The sequence below is a fragment of the Homo sapiens genome, chromosome 3 (genome assembly GCF_000001405.40).
Source record: "Homo sapiens chromosome 3, GRCh38.p14 Primary Assembly".
Taxonomy (NCBI): Eukaryota; Metazoa; Chordata; class Mammalia; order Primates; family Hominidae; genus Homo; species Homo sapiens.
This window is the reverse complement of record NC_000003.12, coordinates 172794760-172813341: the sequence shown is the minus strand read 5'-3', so window position 1 is coordinate 172813341 and position 18582 is coordinate 172794760. Positions and strand designations below refer to the sequence as shown.

General features: G+C 34.1%; 1 protein-coding gene and 1 pseudogene across 48 annotated transcripts in view; one reads left to right on the top strand and one right to left on the bottom strand.

Annotated features, from left to right (window-relative positions):
* Positions 1-18582, bottom strand: part of ECT2 (epithelial cell transforming 2) — a 78540-nt gene that overhangs the window by 15924 nt on the left and 44034 nt on the right. For all 48 annotated transcript variants that reach the window (XM_047447621.1, XM_047447633.1, XM_047447622.1 and 45 more), the window contains 4 exons: positions 10648-10726; positions 10362-10481; positions 7473-7611; positions 5418-5572 (listed from right to left, as the gene is read on the bottom strand). In XM_047447621.1, the coding sequence (XP_047303577.1) occupies positions 5418-5572; positions 7473-7611; positions 10362-10481; positions 10648-10726 (493 nt within the window). The remainder of the gene's footprint in view (positions 1-5417; positions 5573-7472; positions 7612-10361; positions 10482-10647; positions 10727-18582) is intronic.
* Positions 16632-17034, top strand: RNU4-4P (RNA, U4 small nuclear 4, pseudogene; annotated as a pseudogene).

The window sequence follows — 18582 nt, the reverse complement described above, 5'->3', positions numbered from 1 at the left end:
GTAAAAACAATTGATATAATGCTATCTTTATCTGTATTGCTTTAAACTATTAGTTGGGTATATATTTTTTTCATGTTTTACAGATATTTTATATCAAATTTTATTGGAAAAGAGGTCTTCATTTCCTACACTTTCTAACTGGTTACTGCCAGCATAAAGGAAAACTCTTGATACTTATGCATTTATATTTTATTTGGCTGCCTTACTAAGCTCTGTTACTAATTCTAATAGTTTTTGGTTGGTTCTTGTGAACTATCTAGGTAATCGTTTGTAAAACAACTGAATATTTGATACCTTATGTCAATCTGTAAGAAACAAAGCACTGAGGAATGTGATTCAAGCTCTGCCACACATATCTGCAAGGTTTTACACTACTAGGATTTCCTATATCTCATAGTAGAGGGATCACATTTCCTATACTACTGTATATATGGATAAGCTCAGTTGTATCCTTACTTTTATGAACTTAATTGTGCTTTGATTTCATTCCATTTTTATTTCAATTTTTATCTCATTCAATCAACAGATATATACTAAAAACCTACTATTTGATAGAATTTCTTATGTCCATAAGATATAGAGGCAAATTCAGAAAAGAATGTTTTGACATTTAAATATATTTTCCTTAAAGAAAACAGTGATATGGTAATTACCCTGATTTGGTCATTATACGATGTATACATGCAACAAAACATAACACTTTACCCCAAAACATGTACAATTATGTCATTATAAATAAAATGAATTAAAAATCAAAAGTATATTCTTCTGTTATGTTTTATTTTTAAACTATAAAGTAACTTATCAATGCTCCTTTCAATTGGTAAACTTATGACTTTTTTTTTCAACTGAAAGCTGAAAGATCCAGTAAAATTAGCTGGAAAATAATTAAAAACAGTGATAATTTATTAACTGTGACTGATTACAAAATAACACACATATACCAAAGAGTCACCTATTTACAAAACAGCTTAGAAACAGGTAAAATATCCATTTATGACTGCATTCTAAAGAGAAAATTACTTAGGAATAAATCTAATAAATACATTTTTGGCCAGACATGGTGGCTCACACCTGTAATCCCAGCACTGTGATAGGCCCCCAGGGGGGCAGATCACTTGAAGCCACAAATTCAAGACCAGCGTGGCTGGCCAACACGGTGAAACCCCGTCTCTACTAAAAATACAAAAATTAGCCGGGCATGGTCGTGCACGTCTGCAATCCCAGCTACTCAAGAGGCTGAGGCACGAGAATCACTTGAACCCAGAGGTAGAGGTTGTAGTGAGCCAAGATTGTGCCACTGCACTCCAGCCTGCGTAACAGAAGCAAGACTTTGTCTCCCAAAAAAAAAAAAAAAAGAAATACATTTTTGAAGAATGTACATATGTCTATGCTTATATTTCTAGAAAGTATCAAAAGTCATACCCCTAGAAAGACAGATTAGCCAGACAGGGGTATGAGACATATTTTACTGCAGTATACTGTTGTATATTTGATCTTTTTTCTTATGTGCAAATATTATCCTTCAATTTAATAGACAGTAAAAATCATAGCATGACTATTAAACTAAACATTGGTAAGTTACTCTTTGATGTAAAATGTATCCATTTTTATATGTAATGAAACTAAACTCCAAGTGTGTTTAATTTTGCTGAAATGCTCTTTTAATGAAGGCCCCTGAAATTTAAATCCTTAGCAAATGCTAATAAAGGAGCTTCTCATTTTTTTCTATTGTTATCTTAACTATGACTAAGTATTAATAACCATCAATGAACTAAAAATGGAACCAGGGGCTTCATGCTTTCTCTCAATGAACTAACAAACTGCTTCTGACTTAGGGGAGGGAAAGATAGATACAAGATTTTTTACCTTTCTAGAAGATTCTGAGTTCAGAATGACTGAAAGGGTGAACATATTGCTAGTTCACTAGTGGCTAAGAATATAATAAAATATATTATTTTTGCTAAGATACAAATATGAAGTACTTCCTTTAGTGCTCTCCGCACAGAGGAAGGTAGATAGGGTAAATCACAGGCAAAAGTGCAAAGTCGGGGAAACTTATCTTCAGTAGTCCTAGGTTTATTTGTTATTCATTCTTTCTCAATAATTCTCATTCTCTCTTTAAAAACAAACAACGAAGACAAAAAACTTTCTGCTTTTTAGTCTATTTCCCTAAATTTCTAAAATATAATATGTACCAGGACAAGGACGAAAAAATAAAATAAAATAAAAGTAAAATTGATAGATTAGCCAAAACTCATTTTTATTTTTATTTACTTTTAAGTTCTGCTGGACTTGAGAACACACATTTTTAATAGATACTTACTATAATTCCAAAAACATTTTCTGACTTATTCAAAGTATGTCAAGCATTAAAGAAGCTTTGGAAGGGCAGGAGTTTTTCAATCAACTCCAAATTCACATGTACCTGAAGACAGACCTGCTGAGTTCAAGATTAAAAAGTAGTAGTCAATCTTTCCCACTGAGATATATAATATTAATTTCAGGAGAAACTGAGCCTCAGCTATAGATTTTGAAATCCTATTCATGGGTGTTAATTCCCAGGAAATTTTCTAGCATTTGACATCTTAAGCCAATTAACCTGTTTACTCGTGAGTTATGAGACACTTCTCCCCTTTCCCTAAGCTCTCCTCTTACCCTAGTCTTCAAACCCCCAGATCCTATCTACTATCACGTGTCCCCTCCCTTTAGCCTGTGCCTCAGTGTTTTCCTCAAACTCTATAACTTAGAGCTTCTGATTTGGCCAAATTAAAGTGGTATCAATAACAGACATTTATACTAACAACTTACTAGGTATGCCTAATAAATGGAAGAATAATTATAGTTTTAAATACAAATCATACTAACTTCATTATAAATATTATTGGCATACAAGCACAAACTTTTAATATATGTCCAATCGTTGGTCTATTTCTCATGCAGTTAGAAATTCTACTTACAAGTTTAAAAACTCAGAATGAAGATTGCAACTCTTAAGTAGCCAATGGTGATTTATTTAACCATTGTAGGATAAGTTTTGAAAAGTTTTGAAAAATTTCAAAAGAAATATAAAGGTAGCGGCAAAAGTACTAAATTGTAGCACATGGCATTTAATTATCAAGTTACTTTTAAACTAACCAAACTTCGGGAAAGGTTATCGTTGCTTAAATTTACTTATTAATAAAATTATACTTCTGACATTAGAGGTCAGAAATCATAATGGCCTCCACAAAGCTACCAGCTTATCTTAGGCAATATATGAATGTTAGAGTACAGACCATGCAATTAAAGGTTACATGTTGGCAAGAGACCAAAAATACATACATAAGGATTCTGAGACATAAGATCTTCAATAGATTTAAACTTTAATCCTTAGATTCTGAAATAACAAAATATGGGACATGACATCCATGGGGAGAAAGTCGATTAAGATGCTTCGACCAAGAATCAGTCAGTCATGCTCTTGGCCTTAGGTTCAAACTTAATGGTATCAGATTAACTTTTCTTTCAGCCTGATAATTTTAACTCTTACATCATTAATGAGCGGACACGACAAATGAAATAGTATAGAATAAAATAGTTGTGCTTATTAGTTGTGCTTATTTTACTCTTTTAATTAAGAAAGCTCAGGTTACTTAGGGTACCAAAAAATTATATATATACAGGGTACCAAAAACAAAAATTACTAATTCAAAGAATCAGAGATTTTTATATCTTTTTACATCTTTCACGTGTGTGTGTGCGTGTGTGTGTGTGTGTGTGTGTGTGTGTGTAGATATACACACACATTATCTTCACAGGAAAAATTCTCAGGGCTTTATAAACATTTACTATATGTAGAACTTTAAACGCAGGAAAGGGCTCAACCAAAGTCACCGAGTACCTGAATTTACAAACGTATTTCTTAAGAACAAAATTTCAATAGATTGAAAGAATTTTGTAGTGTAAGGATAAGTCAGAACATAGTTAAACGTTTGCTGCCATCTTGTGGCTAATTTTACTTATGAATTTCTTCCATATGTTATTATATTTCAGTTCTAGTACTATTAGCCATCATGTGGCTAGTAATTCAATAGATTATAAGAAAAATTTTCTGTTAATGTTTCATTTCAGTATTAGGGTTATAAGTTTGGAAAGGACTCTATAAACTATCTAGTCTGACATTCTGATAAGAGCAGGAGTAATTTCTGCATTAAGGAACTTCTACAGATAAAACCATTTTATATATGGATACCTAGAAAAAGTGGATGGATACCTACAAAAAAAAACCTTACAATGAGCAGTTTTGAAAGATTTATAACAAAAGTGGTCTCCATCATTTTTCTAGCTAGCATTCTATTGTATTTGTTAGCATTGTATTTCCCTCTCTGAATCTTTTGTGCAACAATTTTTTATTTATAAGAACATATTATTGGTCCATAGAAATCTAAACACACACACACACAAACAAAAAGTCTGATTATTGTTCTAAATACTTTGGAAGGAGGTTTTCATCAATGAATACTTACTTTATAAACCACATTAAACCTAAATGTCTTCCAAGGTTTCACACTTAACTGTAATTACATGTTTCATTCCCACAGAAACACCCAATGCAATCTCAGTTACAGTACCATTGTACCGAAAAGGGTCATCTATTATATCCATATATTCTCTTCAATCTATGTCATTTGTGCAAAGAGTAAGAGGTCTATATCTGTCTATCACATGTGTCTCTCTCATATATAGAGAGGAAGAAATCAAATTATCTTTTAGGGACCTGGATTTCATCCAGGGATACCTGATTTCAGGCAAGTCATTTAACTTCCCTATTTTGATTCTCTCATCTATTTTCACTTTAATCTGTATAGTATAATGATAATTATATATTTATGATAGCATTTCATTTTTAAGAGGTTCACATGAGAAAAATAGATTGGCAACTTTCATTTTCAACTTGCTTTCAATAAGATTTTTTTTTTTTTTTGGCCAGGCACGGTGGCTCACGCCTGTAATCCTAGCATTTTGGGAGGCCAAGGTGGGCAGACTGCCTGAGCTCAAGAGTTCAAGACCAGCCTGGGCAACACAGTGAAACCCCATCTCTAAATACTCTCTAATTTTTAGCCATGTCTAAGAGTATCAATGAAAAATCACAGGGTACATTACAAGAAGTCCCAAAATCTTCACTGAATCAGAGCCACAGGGGCTATAAGACTATGAGGGCCTACCTTATGTAAGCCAAGAACTCAAATAATATTTTGTGTACCTACACTATATAAAATATTTTCTAAAACAACTTATTACATCAGTTTTTTTAATATACACAAAACTAAAACTCTCCATTCATAATAAACAAGTCATTAAAAATGTACAGGTTTAGTCTGAATGCACTGTCATGAAATTTAAACTTTCATTATAATACTGTTTTAAGAACTTACAGCATCTGCTTTACAAATGGTGTTAGCTACATGTCGACACAGCATCTTTAGCCAGTTTTCTTTTGGAAGTTCATCTGATGTCATCTGGAAACTGAGTAGCACATTTGCCTGCTCTGTTGGTGGCCTCACAAGCAAGGCAAAAGCATTATGGCAATCTAGGGTTCCAGAATAACCATAAACATTAAGTGTCACTCCTTGGAAAATGACAGATGTATGCAAGTTTAGTTCCCTCAGAGCAATGAAATTCCAATGAAATGAACTATCACTTCTCCACTTTCCTTGTCCTATTTTTAATAAGACAAAGAACATCACCATATTAAGTTGAAGTACTGAAAACACAATATAGTATACCACGTAAGGAACTAATGATGATGATAAGTTAATGACATTAAGTAAACAGTATTATCCATGTCATTTAATATTTTCTATGATAAAAATATTAAGTGTTACAAAAGTTGCACGATCAAGATGCTAAAATACAACCTATTTTAAACAAAGTCTGCCATAATTAAAATCCAAAAATGAAGATTTTTAAAACAAATATATAGTCAGCCTTCCGTATCTGTGGGTCTGCATCTGTGGATTCAATCAACTGCTGACCGAAAATAGTAGAAAAAAACAGTAGAAAACAGATTGTATCTGTATTGAAAATGTACAGACTTTTTATTCTTGTCATCATTCCCTAAACAATATAGTATAACAACTGTTTACACAGCATTTACACTGTGTAGGTACTATAAGTAACCTAGAAATGACTTACAGTACATAGGAAGATGTGTATAGGTTACATGCAAACACTATGCAATTTTACATCCAGGACTTGAGCATCCCAGATTTTGGTAACCAAGGGAGGTCCAGGAACCGTCCCCCGTGGATACCAAGGGACAACTATACTATGTAACCTTTAATAAATCCAGAATTTGTCAACTAAGTGAAAAGAGCAGGAAGTTGCTGTTCAAGTTTTCTTTAAGAATCATTTCTTGGCGGGGTGCAGTGGCTCATACCTGTAATCCCAGCACTTTGGGAGGCCGAAGTGGGTGGATCACTTGAGGTCAGGAGTTCAAGACCAGCCCGGCCAACATGGTGAAACCCCGTCTCTACTAAAAATACAAAAAAATTAGCCAGGCATGACAACACACGCCTGTAATCCCAGCTACTCAGGAGGCTGAGGCAGGAGAATCCTGGCGGGAGCTGCAGTGAACCAAGTTTGCGCCACTGCACTCCAGCTTGGGTGACAGACTAAGACGTCATCTCAAAAAAAAAAAAAAAAAAACCCACAAAAAACAAAGAAAGAATCATTTCTTATAAAGGAAAAAAAAAAAAAAAAGAATAATTTCTCACAAACTGAAACCTTTCATTATTAGAGGAATCAGTAATGGAAAGAGCTAAATATTGTAAAAACATATGCCTAACATCCAAAATATGGCCATGCACATACACCACTGGGTGTCAATTAAACAGATGACACTGTTGTAGGTAGGTATAAATTTTCAGCAATTTCAGGCCTTCAGAGAACCTGCTCTGTAACACTACCAAAGTTTAGAGTAAAACATTCCTTAATACACATATGACTCCATATCAAGTCTACCAGTTACTCTGAGTTTATTTATTGCACCCACATCTATTCCTGACCCGTACCTTAAACATAGCCCTAAAAATGCAACTGTTGGCCAACAGTGAAAGTGTTAAGATGAGGGGTGCAGGTAACAGACTGGTTATTTTGTATTCTGAAGGAACCAAAAAAATAAATTTTGGTGTGGCAATAGGCTAGGCTAGGGTGCTATTTTAATACATAGCCATTTAAAAGCTCTTTGACCTTTAACAGATGAGGGTATCCTATAGGTTGAGATAGTACTTTCATTTGAGAAAACAAAAAGTCAGTTCTGTTCCTAGAGATGGAGATGGGATAGAGGTGCAAGAACAATTACTTTAGCAGTCTGACCAACTATATTTAAAGATAATTTACCAATTTAAAAAAGCCAAAATGGAGTAAATTAAACCTACAATGAATATAAACTATTTTTATATAACCAAGAATGTATCCGACCGGCATACCTTCTGTCTCTCTTATGTCCAATACCTTCTTAATCTGAGAAAGAGGCATTAGGTGAATATGCTTAAGAGAAGCTGGGGGTCGGGTTTGGCCATGAGGACTCCTAAAAGTGCCAATAACCTTGTGCCGTTTTCTTGCTATCTGATTATAGAAAATAAAAAAGTATCAGTCAATAAAATGAAGAAAAAGGACCAAATACTTAAAAAATAAAATAGCACTAATCACATAAATCTATATATAACTTATTTAGTTATTATTCGTTACAAAGTTGTTATAAGCAGAGTTACTATGTAACAAAAGTCAAACATGTAATTGTATAGCAGAAATGTTCATGTTTATATAAGAAGAGTTCAAAAGTCAGGAAAAAAGGCCAAGGGATATTTTGCAAAAGGTCCCAGAGGTATGAAAGAACTAGAAGCATGATGAGAAGCGACAGGATCAAGGAATGACAGAATCTTAAATGAAACTCCTAGAATTCAGGAGAAGAGGAACAGTTGGCTAAGCAAAACAATTAAATGATTTTAAGCTTAATTTTTAGAAAGGAAAAACAATAACAAGTGTTAATTTGATGACAAATGCTAGTACAGAGTTTAAAAAAAACCCTTAAAATACAGATAAAACATTTAAAAGTTAAATATATCCTTAAATCCCAAATTAGTTTCAGTATAACATAATCTGTCATTAAGAAAACATAGATTTTACCCATTTTGAATGTTTCTACCATTTATTATTAAATAGGATGATGGCTATAGGTTTTTATCAGGTTAAGAATGTACCATAATTTCCATTGCCAATTTACTAAGAGTTTTGTTTATTTTTCCTAAACAAACAAGCTAAAGAATAAGTTTATTTAAGATTATAAGTTTTTATTTTATATTTATTATGAATTCTGAAGTCCAAATTTAATGTTATAAATAAAGCAGTTTTTGTTGAAGTGATTCTAAGACAGGGAGGCTAAAAGGGATAGAACAAAAAAAAAATCAATAGATTCAAGAAGGTAGGGAAAATGAGAAGCCAGGGACTTGGGAGCTACAGGAGACCAATACCAGAAATTAAAGTGAATGGCAAGTCAATGAACCAATTACAGAAGACTGCGAGGAATCTGGAGGGGATATAAGATCAAAAATTTAAAGTAAGCCATAGCTCTCAGGAATAAGGGATAAAAACCAGAATGGATTAGCAAAGAAATAAAGATAATCTAACCTATTAGATGAATGGAGCAAGCTGACCTAGGGACTCCAACAGGAAAAACCTATAAAAGCTTTAATGGAAACAAACAAATAAAGTACAGAGAAACTATATACAGTAAAACCCCATGATGATGCGAATCCAGATAAAATATAATTGAAAATTGACTCTGCCTAGCATCTGTTCTCAATCAGGGCAGGCTAAAGTCCTTTTTATGAGGGAAACAGGTAGTTGAGAATTATCTGTCTCATGATTTTTTGACTTTCTCACTTCAGGAGACAGTCAATTGTGTACAGTAGTTTGACTGTCTTTACTTTTGTGCTTTTTGCAACATGATTGACCAAAAAAAAGTATTTTTCATTTAGCCTCATAACAACAAAACTCTGCATTTAACACAAGTGAATTTCTGGTGAGATTTTATTATACCTGTAACTGTTCTGCACATGAACCGCTCTTTAAGATTCCCTTGTATTCTATACTATAAATAATAATGTATATGATATATAAGAAGGCAATACTTTGATAGAAGTAGGAAAGGACAAAAGGAAAGCATATAAGACTTTAAAGAAAAAGGAGGCAGGTGCAGTGGCTCACGCCTGTAATCCCAATGGTAATCTCAACACTTTGGGAGGCTGAGGTGGGTAAATTGTTTGAGTCCAGGAGTTTGAGACCAGCCTGCGCAACATGCAAAACCAGTCTCTACTAAAAATAATTAGACTGGTGTGGTGGCGAGTGTCTATAGTCTCAGCTACTTGCGATGTTGGGATAAGAAAATCACCAGAGCCCAGGAAGTCAAGGCTGCAGTGAGCTGTGATCTTGCCACTGCACTCCAAGCTGGGCAATGAGAGTAAGACCCTGTCGAAAAAAAAAAGAAAAACGAAAAGAAACAGAAACAGAAACAGAGAAAGAGAAAGAAAAGAAAAAGAAAAGAAAAGAAAAGGAAACTCCTTAATCATTTTGATGAAGGTAACAGAAAGTTTCCAGTGACAGAAAAGTCAAATGAGTCATCTTATTAATGTCTGTTTTATCAAAATGAACATTTTTCTCTTCTGAGATGAAGGAAAACCGCACTTCTTTTTATCCCTCACTACTGTTGTTTAAAAATACATATTAGAGGGATGAACAAGTTAAAACACACACATGTAATTCAATTTGCTTGCAGGGGTAATACAAAAAGAAAATCTAACTTGAATAAGAATTTTAGAATTAGATTCATTATACCCCACCTGACCCCTCATTCACTCTAAAACCTGCTGATTTAAGAAGAATCAAGGAATCATAAAGAATTTATAATAGTAAATTATCAAGTTATCTCCCTCTTCAACAAAATACAACCACATCATTATTGGAAAAAATCTACTGAAATTTCAAAAAACTCAGAATTATTTTACAAATCTTGAATAAATATACATAGAAACAAGAAGTTATCAGATTTCTTGACCTAAGCATTTATTTGCATGGAAATAAATTTTCATTTTAACTTAGATTTGAAGTCATGAAAACTTACACTTCTTATTAGACCTTCCTCTAAAAGCATTCTATTAACAGTATTAAATCATAAATTGTCCTCGATTTTTTTAAAAAAAGATTACTTGAGTTTATTTAAAATTCTACATTACTCTTCAATTAAAGCTTGGTTTTAAATATTCAGGGAACTTACAAAAATCAGTAGTGTTATTATACTATGTGAAGTACATCTTTACCTCTAGGCAATCATTGAAGAGGAAGAGAGTTACTTGTTCTCCTCTGTCACAGGGGTGCTCACCTAGAGAAATTGTTTCAACCCGCTGTACTAAGCTTCGGTGAGAAGATAAAAGATTAGCCTGTATAGGTTGAAAATATAACAAAAGAGATCACTTGGTATCAAGTAATTTTTAAGAAGTTGTAATTTAAAAGAAAGTAGTGCCAAGATATTATTTATATTAAAACCACAGAAACCTCATTAACAAGAAGAAAATAAATTAATAATTGTTAAAGAAGAATACTTACTGGGCATCCATCTACTTCATAAACAACATCAAAAATTTGCTTTTGAGCTTCTGTTTTTCTCTTATCCTCATTAATATGCCTGAAAAATAGTTATTTTTAAAACTTTTAAAATAGAACATGAAAACTACAACAAACACAACTCATGTCACAAGTTGTGTTTGATGTGAATGTCTTATTTTGATAAGTGAATCAGTTAAAATATTCCTTAAAAGTATCCCATTACATTAAAAAGGTTTCCATGCCTATGGAGCCCAGGATGAGGAAAACAAACAAGCAACTTCCGGCCAGGTGCGGTGACTTGCGCCTGTAATCCCAGCACTTTGGGAGGCCAAGGTGGGTGGATCACTGAAGTCAGGAGTTCGAGACCAGCCTGACCAACATGGTGAAACTCTGTTTCTACTAAAAATACAAAAATTAGCTGGGTATGGTGGCAGGCACCTGTAATCCCAGCTACTCGGCGGCTGAGGCAGGAGAATCACTTGAACCCAGGAGGAGGAGGTTGCAGTGAGTCAAGATCACACCATTCCACTCCAGTCTAGGCAACAAGAGTGAAACTCCATCTCAAAAAAAACAAAAACAAAAACAAAAACAAAAACAAAACATCCATAGACTCCTTCAGAAAAGTATGTTTTACTATTATTCCTTTCTATATTCTTTACTATACTCCCTATGCACTTTCTAAAATACACTAAACCTGTACAAAATTAAGACTAATAAAATTTTGAAGTTCTCAATATAAGTTCAAATAAGGTTTTATGTAAGTCTTACCAAGTCATAGGCTAATCATTTCACTGAAACAAAAACTAAGGCTACTGCTTCAGACAAGACTGAATAACAGGGAATGAATTTACTTTTCTGACTGAAACAACTAAAAAAATTGGTCAAAATACAAAGAAACAAGGGTTCTCAAGACACTTAACATCCATTTCTGTGAAACAGAAACAAGCTAAGCCCTACAACTGTCCTGGCTTATAGCCTAAAGAAAGTTTCTTCCCTGCAAAGAAAGCACAGATAGTGCCTAGCTATATCCCTAAGAGAAGAAGCAAATGTGGGAGTCCAGTGTGATCAGATGCCTAGTCCGCAGGGCAAATTACTGGAAAACAGCTGTACAGAGAGAACTCCTGTTTTCAGAAGGCTTCCTTATGTACACAGTTCTCAACCTGATCACTGTATGCGTGTAAGAAAACTATCCGAGGTTAGGGAAGACACGTTAAAAAATCAGAGTTAACAGTGCTCAGTGCTCATATGGCATGGAACAGTGATATCAATCAGAGTGGAAAACTTCAAGATTAATGTGACATCAGGGTAGAGTACTAAGATCTTTCCTCAACAGTGGGGAAAATTAACCTTAGACTAAATACTGTTCTGATTCTGCCTAACAAAGTTTAAGAGTAAGACATGAAAATATCAAACTGTTTGCAAGCTACTTAACTGCATGCCAGGAAAAACTCAAAAACATTTTTAAGAATACAAAAATATCTAGCTCTCAAAAAAGTAAAACTGACAATGTCTAGAATTCAATAAAATAATACCAGGCATGCAATGACAGGAAAATAAGACTAATGAGAAAAAAAAAATTGAAACAGAGATAAGTGAATTAGTAAACAATTTAAAGTTATTATATTCACGTCATAAATTCTAAAAACTGCAAGAAAGATTGAACATTTTAAGCAAAAACATGAAAGATATTTTTGAAAGATCTTATTTACTGACCAAATAAAAGTTATCATTTTTTGTTAGCCTCATAACAACAAAATTCTGCATTTAACACAAGTGAATTTTTGGTGAGATTTGATTGTATCTGTAACTGTTCTGCACATGAACTGTTCTTCAAGATTTTCTTGTAATCATACCATAAATAATAATGTATGTGATATATAAGGCGGCAACACTTTGGCAGAAGTAGGAAAGTACAAAAGGAAAGCATATAAGACTTTAAAGAAAAAGGAAGCAGTGGTCATCATTTCTGATGACCCAAATCAGTCATACAGAGATGGAAGCTACAATGTTTTATATGAAAAATACACTGGATGAGAATAACATCAGAGTAAACACTACAAAAGAAAAGCTTAGTAAAATTGAAGATAGCAATAATGTCAAAGTCAAAAATAAAATATAACGATAAATTTCTCATTTTACTTTTTATTGGGGAAGAAAGAATTATAATTCAGGGCATACATACTGACCAAGTGGTCTTCAAATAATAAAGTCTGTTCTAATAATAAAGAGAAGGTTGGGAGTTTTATTAGAAAAAAATGTTATTATGTATTGTTTTTAAAGAAAGCTCATTGACACTAGTAAAGTTTTGGGGAACTGGCAAGCTGAGTGGTGAGTGATAGTGGTGAGTAAAACTAGTCAGAGTCATAGCAGGTTGCTTTAGCAACTATTAAGTAAAACCAGTCTTAGGATTACACTAGGCCATTTTAAGCAGCTGGGCTTATGGAAAATTTAATTATTAGAACAGCTACCACGCGCCCCAAGTGTTTTTCCCCTCTGTCCCTCAACTCTGATTTAATTGGGTATAACAAGAATGATCCAATTTTGTATAATCAATGCTCACATTTCCCCCCTTTGATCAAGATCTTTCTCTGACAGCAAAGCTAATCAATCATCTTGAAGGTAGGCTTAATTGTCCCTCAAGGCCTGGACAAACCTGTCCTGGTTGTCTCTATCCCACATTGTGGGGAAGATATAGAGGGTCTATGTCAGGGAGCTGGGCCACATTTGAGTAACAAAGAGGACAGAAAGGAAAATTTTCTCAGGGCAGGTTTGCCTGAAGTCCAGCACTGAGTTCCATCTTGTTAATTCCATAGGTATTAGCAGCCATGTCAAAGTGTTAAGAGAGTTGGCTTTACAAAGATTAGACAAGCAATAAAAACAAGGCTTAAAAATCATAACACAAAAAATAATTAATATAATAAATTTAGTGTGTACAATCGTTTTGAAACAGAACACAAGCCTGATGGCAACTAAACAAATCAAAAGACCATTGTGGGTACTGGATGAGACTAATTGTAGCCATTGAGTAGTATTTTAGAACTGGGTTGAATTAAAGCAAAGAATGCCAACTCTACAGAAAGGACCACCAGTACATTTTGAACAAAAAGTTGTGTTACAGATATTGCTAAAGTTACTAGTGGAATAAAAGGATTTCTTAGGTCAGGTTTTGTCAAGTTACTTATAGCAGTTACTGATTGTGAAATTTAATTACAGCATTATTTTGTCAAGCCAAAAAGATAGGCATCAAGAGGGGTAGGAGTGTCATCATATGGAGTCTTGCCTCATTGTCTTGGGAAAGGCTGTCTACAGCATTAAAAAAATGTCACTTCTTGCCCTGGTTTGCAGTTTGAATGTCTCTGATTAAAGCATAAGATATTTTGGTGAACTTTTTATGTGGCCCATGCATCAGGCACAAGACTTGTTTCTTAAAATTTATCTAGTTTCCGTTGATAGGGCTTTAGAAACAGTACAGTTCCCATTTTTAGCAATTTTATGGAAGACAGCTGGATTGGAGAAATCTGGAAGAATTTAGGATCTAGACTATAGGTAGATAACAAGAACTCAAAAACAACCAACAGAGCTACAATCTAACAACAGGTGTATTACAGCTTTTTATTAGAAATATAACTTTTTTTCTACACTGATCACATAAAAATTTCAGATTTTAAAACCTCTTGAGGCTAGGAAACCAAACCAAGGCAGACTTTATATTTTACTTACAGTCTTAAGGTTCCTGGGTCTGCCAAGAAGTGGCAGTTTTTAATTTACTCACTGTAAGGCTAGGAACCTTTGAAGTCAGGCATTTTATGCATATTGTCAAATATGACATTTCAGTCAAAGCCTTGGTAATATAACCAATGTTTTCAATTGTATTCTGCTATAAAGAGAGAGCAGATTTCTATTAGACTTATGTAAATAACTATATTGCTAAAAGAATGCTCAAAAAGTTTTCAAATTGTGGAGGAATCAAATAGAAAAAATAAATGTTCTATCTATATTTACAAAAGCATACTATATCAAACTGTTGTAAATTATAGATAGCTTGAGAGAGATTTTCTTAAGTCTGGAAAACAAAACATTTGCATAAAGAACCAACAATATTTTAAATAAAAGTCATTAAAACATTATCTTCATCAGTTATTCAATCTTGTATAATTCATTTTTATTCTGCTTGATCTCGATTAGTAGTTTCGTGAATCCAACAGTTTTTTAAATTAGAGTTTTGGAAATTTTTATCAATTCCATTGATCTTAAAGTTATCAGAAACTTGACTTTAGGGCACTTGTTGGATAGAATCATTTTCATGATTATGTTTTTAGGGAAGAATTCAAAACCCTAACCGGATGACAAAAACTTAGACTAGCCATAGTTTAAAAAGCTGGTGAAAGTTTGCAACTGACAACAAAATTTAGTTATCTCTATTAAACATGGCATTAAGATAACAACCAAAATTATAATAACAGATTTCTGTAACTTACACAATTTGTGAAACATATCAACAAATACCCACAAATGCAACTAAAAGATCTAGTATCACTTATCATTTGTCAATGTCTTTTACACAACTTATCAAATAAGCCTAATAATTTAATATCTCTCAAGATGAGAGAAATCTTTTGAGGCTTCCCAGGGGTTCACCTCAAAAATCTCAGTTAGTTTAGGTTAAAAAGACTAAAACGATTTGATTTGGGGGAAGTTTGCCAAAGATGTTGAAAGTCTCAAGACATTTGATCAAAACAGGATCACAGGTCATTTGTGAAATAATAGTCATTTATGTAACCAGAGTGATAATCACAAGGCTTTAGAAGGAATACAGAGCTACATGGATAAAAACAAACAAAAAAGCCTTAACCTTTAAAAATCTGTTGTTTCTTTTGTGTATTATGCATATGGGTTTTATTTTAAGTAATCAAAAACCTAATAAAGGCAACACAGGACATTTTCTTGATAAAACATAAAACCTGTTTCTTAGGCCAGTTATCAAAAAGGCAAAGAAAAACTTTCTGCAGTACGATTGTTCCTTCTTGGGGGAAGCTCATTTAGATAACCTGGAAGTTGAGCCAGATGAAAAGAGCACTTGAATTCAATTAGACAAAGGAACAATGTTACACAGTAACTGCAACAACTCAGACACATCATGAAAAGCCACAAGTAAAGAATTAAGGCCTTCAAGATGAACATTTTAGTGTCAGGATATAACAGCAGAGTTAGAACCACAGAAAACAGTTATGAAAGCTGACAGAAAAAAGCTGAAGCAAAGAGTTATCAACCCATGCCTTCTCAAAAGGGGAAAAAGCAAAAGGTAACAATGTATGACCTGAAAATCATGTGCTGTGAGACACAGCAAAAGCTGAACCTCCCGCAGGGCATGGTGGCTTACATTTGTAATCCCAGCACTTTGGGAGACCTAGGCCGGTGGATTGCTTGAACCCTGGAGTTTGAGACCAGCTTGGGCAAAATGGCAAAAGCACATCTCTAAAAAAAAAAAAATACAAAAATTAGCTAGGCACGGTGGTGCACACCTGTAGGCCCATCTACTCAGGAGGCTGAGGTAGGAGGATCACTTGAGCCTGGGAAGTGGAGGTTGCAGTGAGTCAAGATTGTGCCACTGCACTCCAGCCTGTGACAGAATGAGACCCTGACACACACACACACACACACACACACACACACACAGTTGAACCTGATATATGAATCTGAGAAACTTCAAAAGGAAAATGCTACCTTAAGAAATAAGGCTGGGCGTGATGGCTCATGCCTCCAATTCCAGCACTGTGGGAGGCTGAGGTGAGAGGATCACTTGAGGCCAAGAGTTCAAGACCAGCCTGGCCAACATAGCGAAACCTCATATCTACTAAAAATTAGCAGGGCGTGGTGGCATGTGCCTGAAATCCCAGCTACTCAGGAGGCAGAGGCAGGAGAATCGCTGGAACCTGAGAGGCAGAGGTTGCAGTGAGCTGAGATCACACCAATGCACTATAGCCTGGGCGACCGGGTGAGACTATCTCCAATAAATAAATGAATTAATTAATTAAAATAATTTTAAATAAAGAAGACAGCATTTTTAACCTGAATTGAGGAAATTAAACAGATATCAGGAAGAAATGTAAGACGAAACAGAAAATGCCTGCAGTTTAGCTTTGCGCAGTGGCAGTATCGTAGCCAATGAGGTCTATCCGAGGAGCGATTACTGCTAATTGAAAAAGAAAATGCCTGCAGTTTAGAAGATGGCTGATAAAGAAACAGATTCTGGAATTAAAAATTAAAACCTACTGCAATTTTATTAAAAGCTGATCAATACTTCAAGTAAAACTCGTTGTAAACATAGAGATTCAGACTTTGGTCCTATATCAATCAATGCACTCCTGACACCAATGTTTAATTTTTAGAAAAAACTTACAAAGAAATCCTTTCCAACCCCATCAACCTGATCACACATAAACCTTCCTTTATAAAGCCCAGCCTTCATAAACCCTCTTTGACTTGTTTAGATCTTTCATCATTTTCTCAAACACCTAGTCTTAGTCCTATAATTTTTTGATACTGGAACAACCATTTTGCCTTAGGACAAAAATTTATCACAGACATTTTAAAATTATTATTTAACTAAAAATACATCTTTATATCCATAACTATCTTTGCATCTCTCTCTCTCTCCCACACTGGTTTTTCCTCCAATTTTTTCTTCTTAAATTTATATTTTGAAACAAACTTTAAATAACCTGTGAATTTGACAAAATCATTGTTTTTTAATTAAAAAACACATTGTCCTCTTATAATTTTATGTGTATTAACAGATCTAAGTATATTTAGTCTTTTTATAAAATTTAAGAAGCCAAGAACAAACCTATTTATTCAGCAATTCGTTTTTGTTTTTTCTCTTATTTGGATATGACTCAGGCATTTAATGAGCTCTCTATTACTTAATTTAATGTAACATAACTTAAAGATTTCAAATTACTTGCAAAGTTTAGTTATAAATGTTTATCCCATTTACAGTTACATAAATTTTTTAGCAATTATGCCTAGATTCATTATGAAAATTGAGGTATTAGAGCTAGTCATTATTTTGTTATTTTTATTAATCAAAATTATAACCTGTTAATATCAGATATTTACCTAAGTAAGAACCTAAAGTGAAATACATGGGTATGTTGTAAATAACTCAAAAGATACAGCTGTTTTTATTAAATCAATAATAATGTTAGTTTAAATCAAAGAATTACATGAAGATCATTTCATTTTAGGCTGGACTTAAAGCTCCATGACTTTAAAACATTTAGCAGCAACAAACATAAAACTGTCTAACCACTAATTCCAAGCAAAAATGTATTTTGACAATTTTGAAAATTTTTTTTTTTTTTTTTTTTTGATAGCGTCTCACTCTGTCACCCAGGCTGGAGTGCAGTGGTGCAATCTTGGCTCACTGCAACCTCCACCTCCTGGTTCAAGCGATTCTCCTGCCTCAGCCTCTGAGTAGCTGGAACTACAGGCGCACACCACACCACCATGCCTGGCTAATTTTTGTGTTACAATAGCATCAAAAAGAATAGAATACTTAAGAATAAGTTTAACAAGAAACCCAAAGCTTATCCTCTGAAAACCACGAAATATAGTTGAAAGAAATTAAAAGTAAATAAATGGAAATATTCATAAATCAGAAGATTTAATATTGCTAACATAGGCCAAGTGCGGTGGCTCATGCCTGTAATCGAAGAACTTTGGGAGGCCAAGGTGGGTGGATCATCTGAGGTCAGGAGTTCGAGACCAGCCTGGCCAACATGCTAAAACCCCATCTCTACTTAAAAAAAAATTAGCCAGGTGTGATGGTGCGCACCTGTAGTCCCAGCTACTCGGGAGGCTGACGCTGGGGAATCACTTGAACCCGGGAGGCGGAGATTGCAGTGAGCCGAGACCGTGCCACTGCACTCCAGC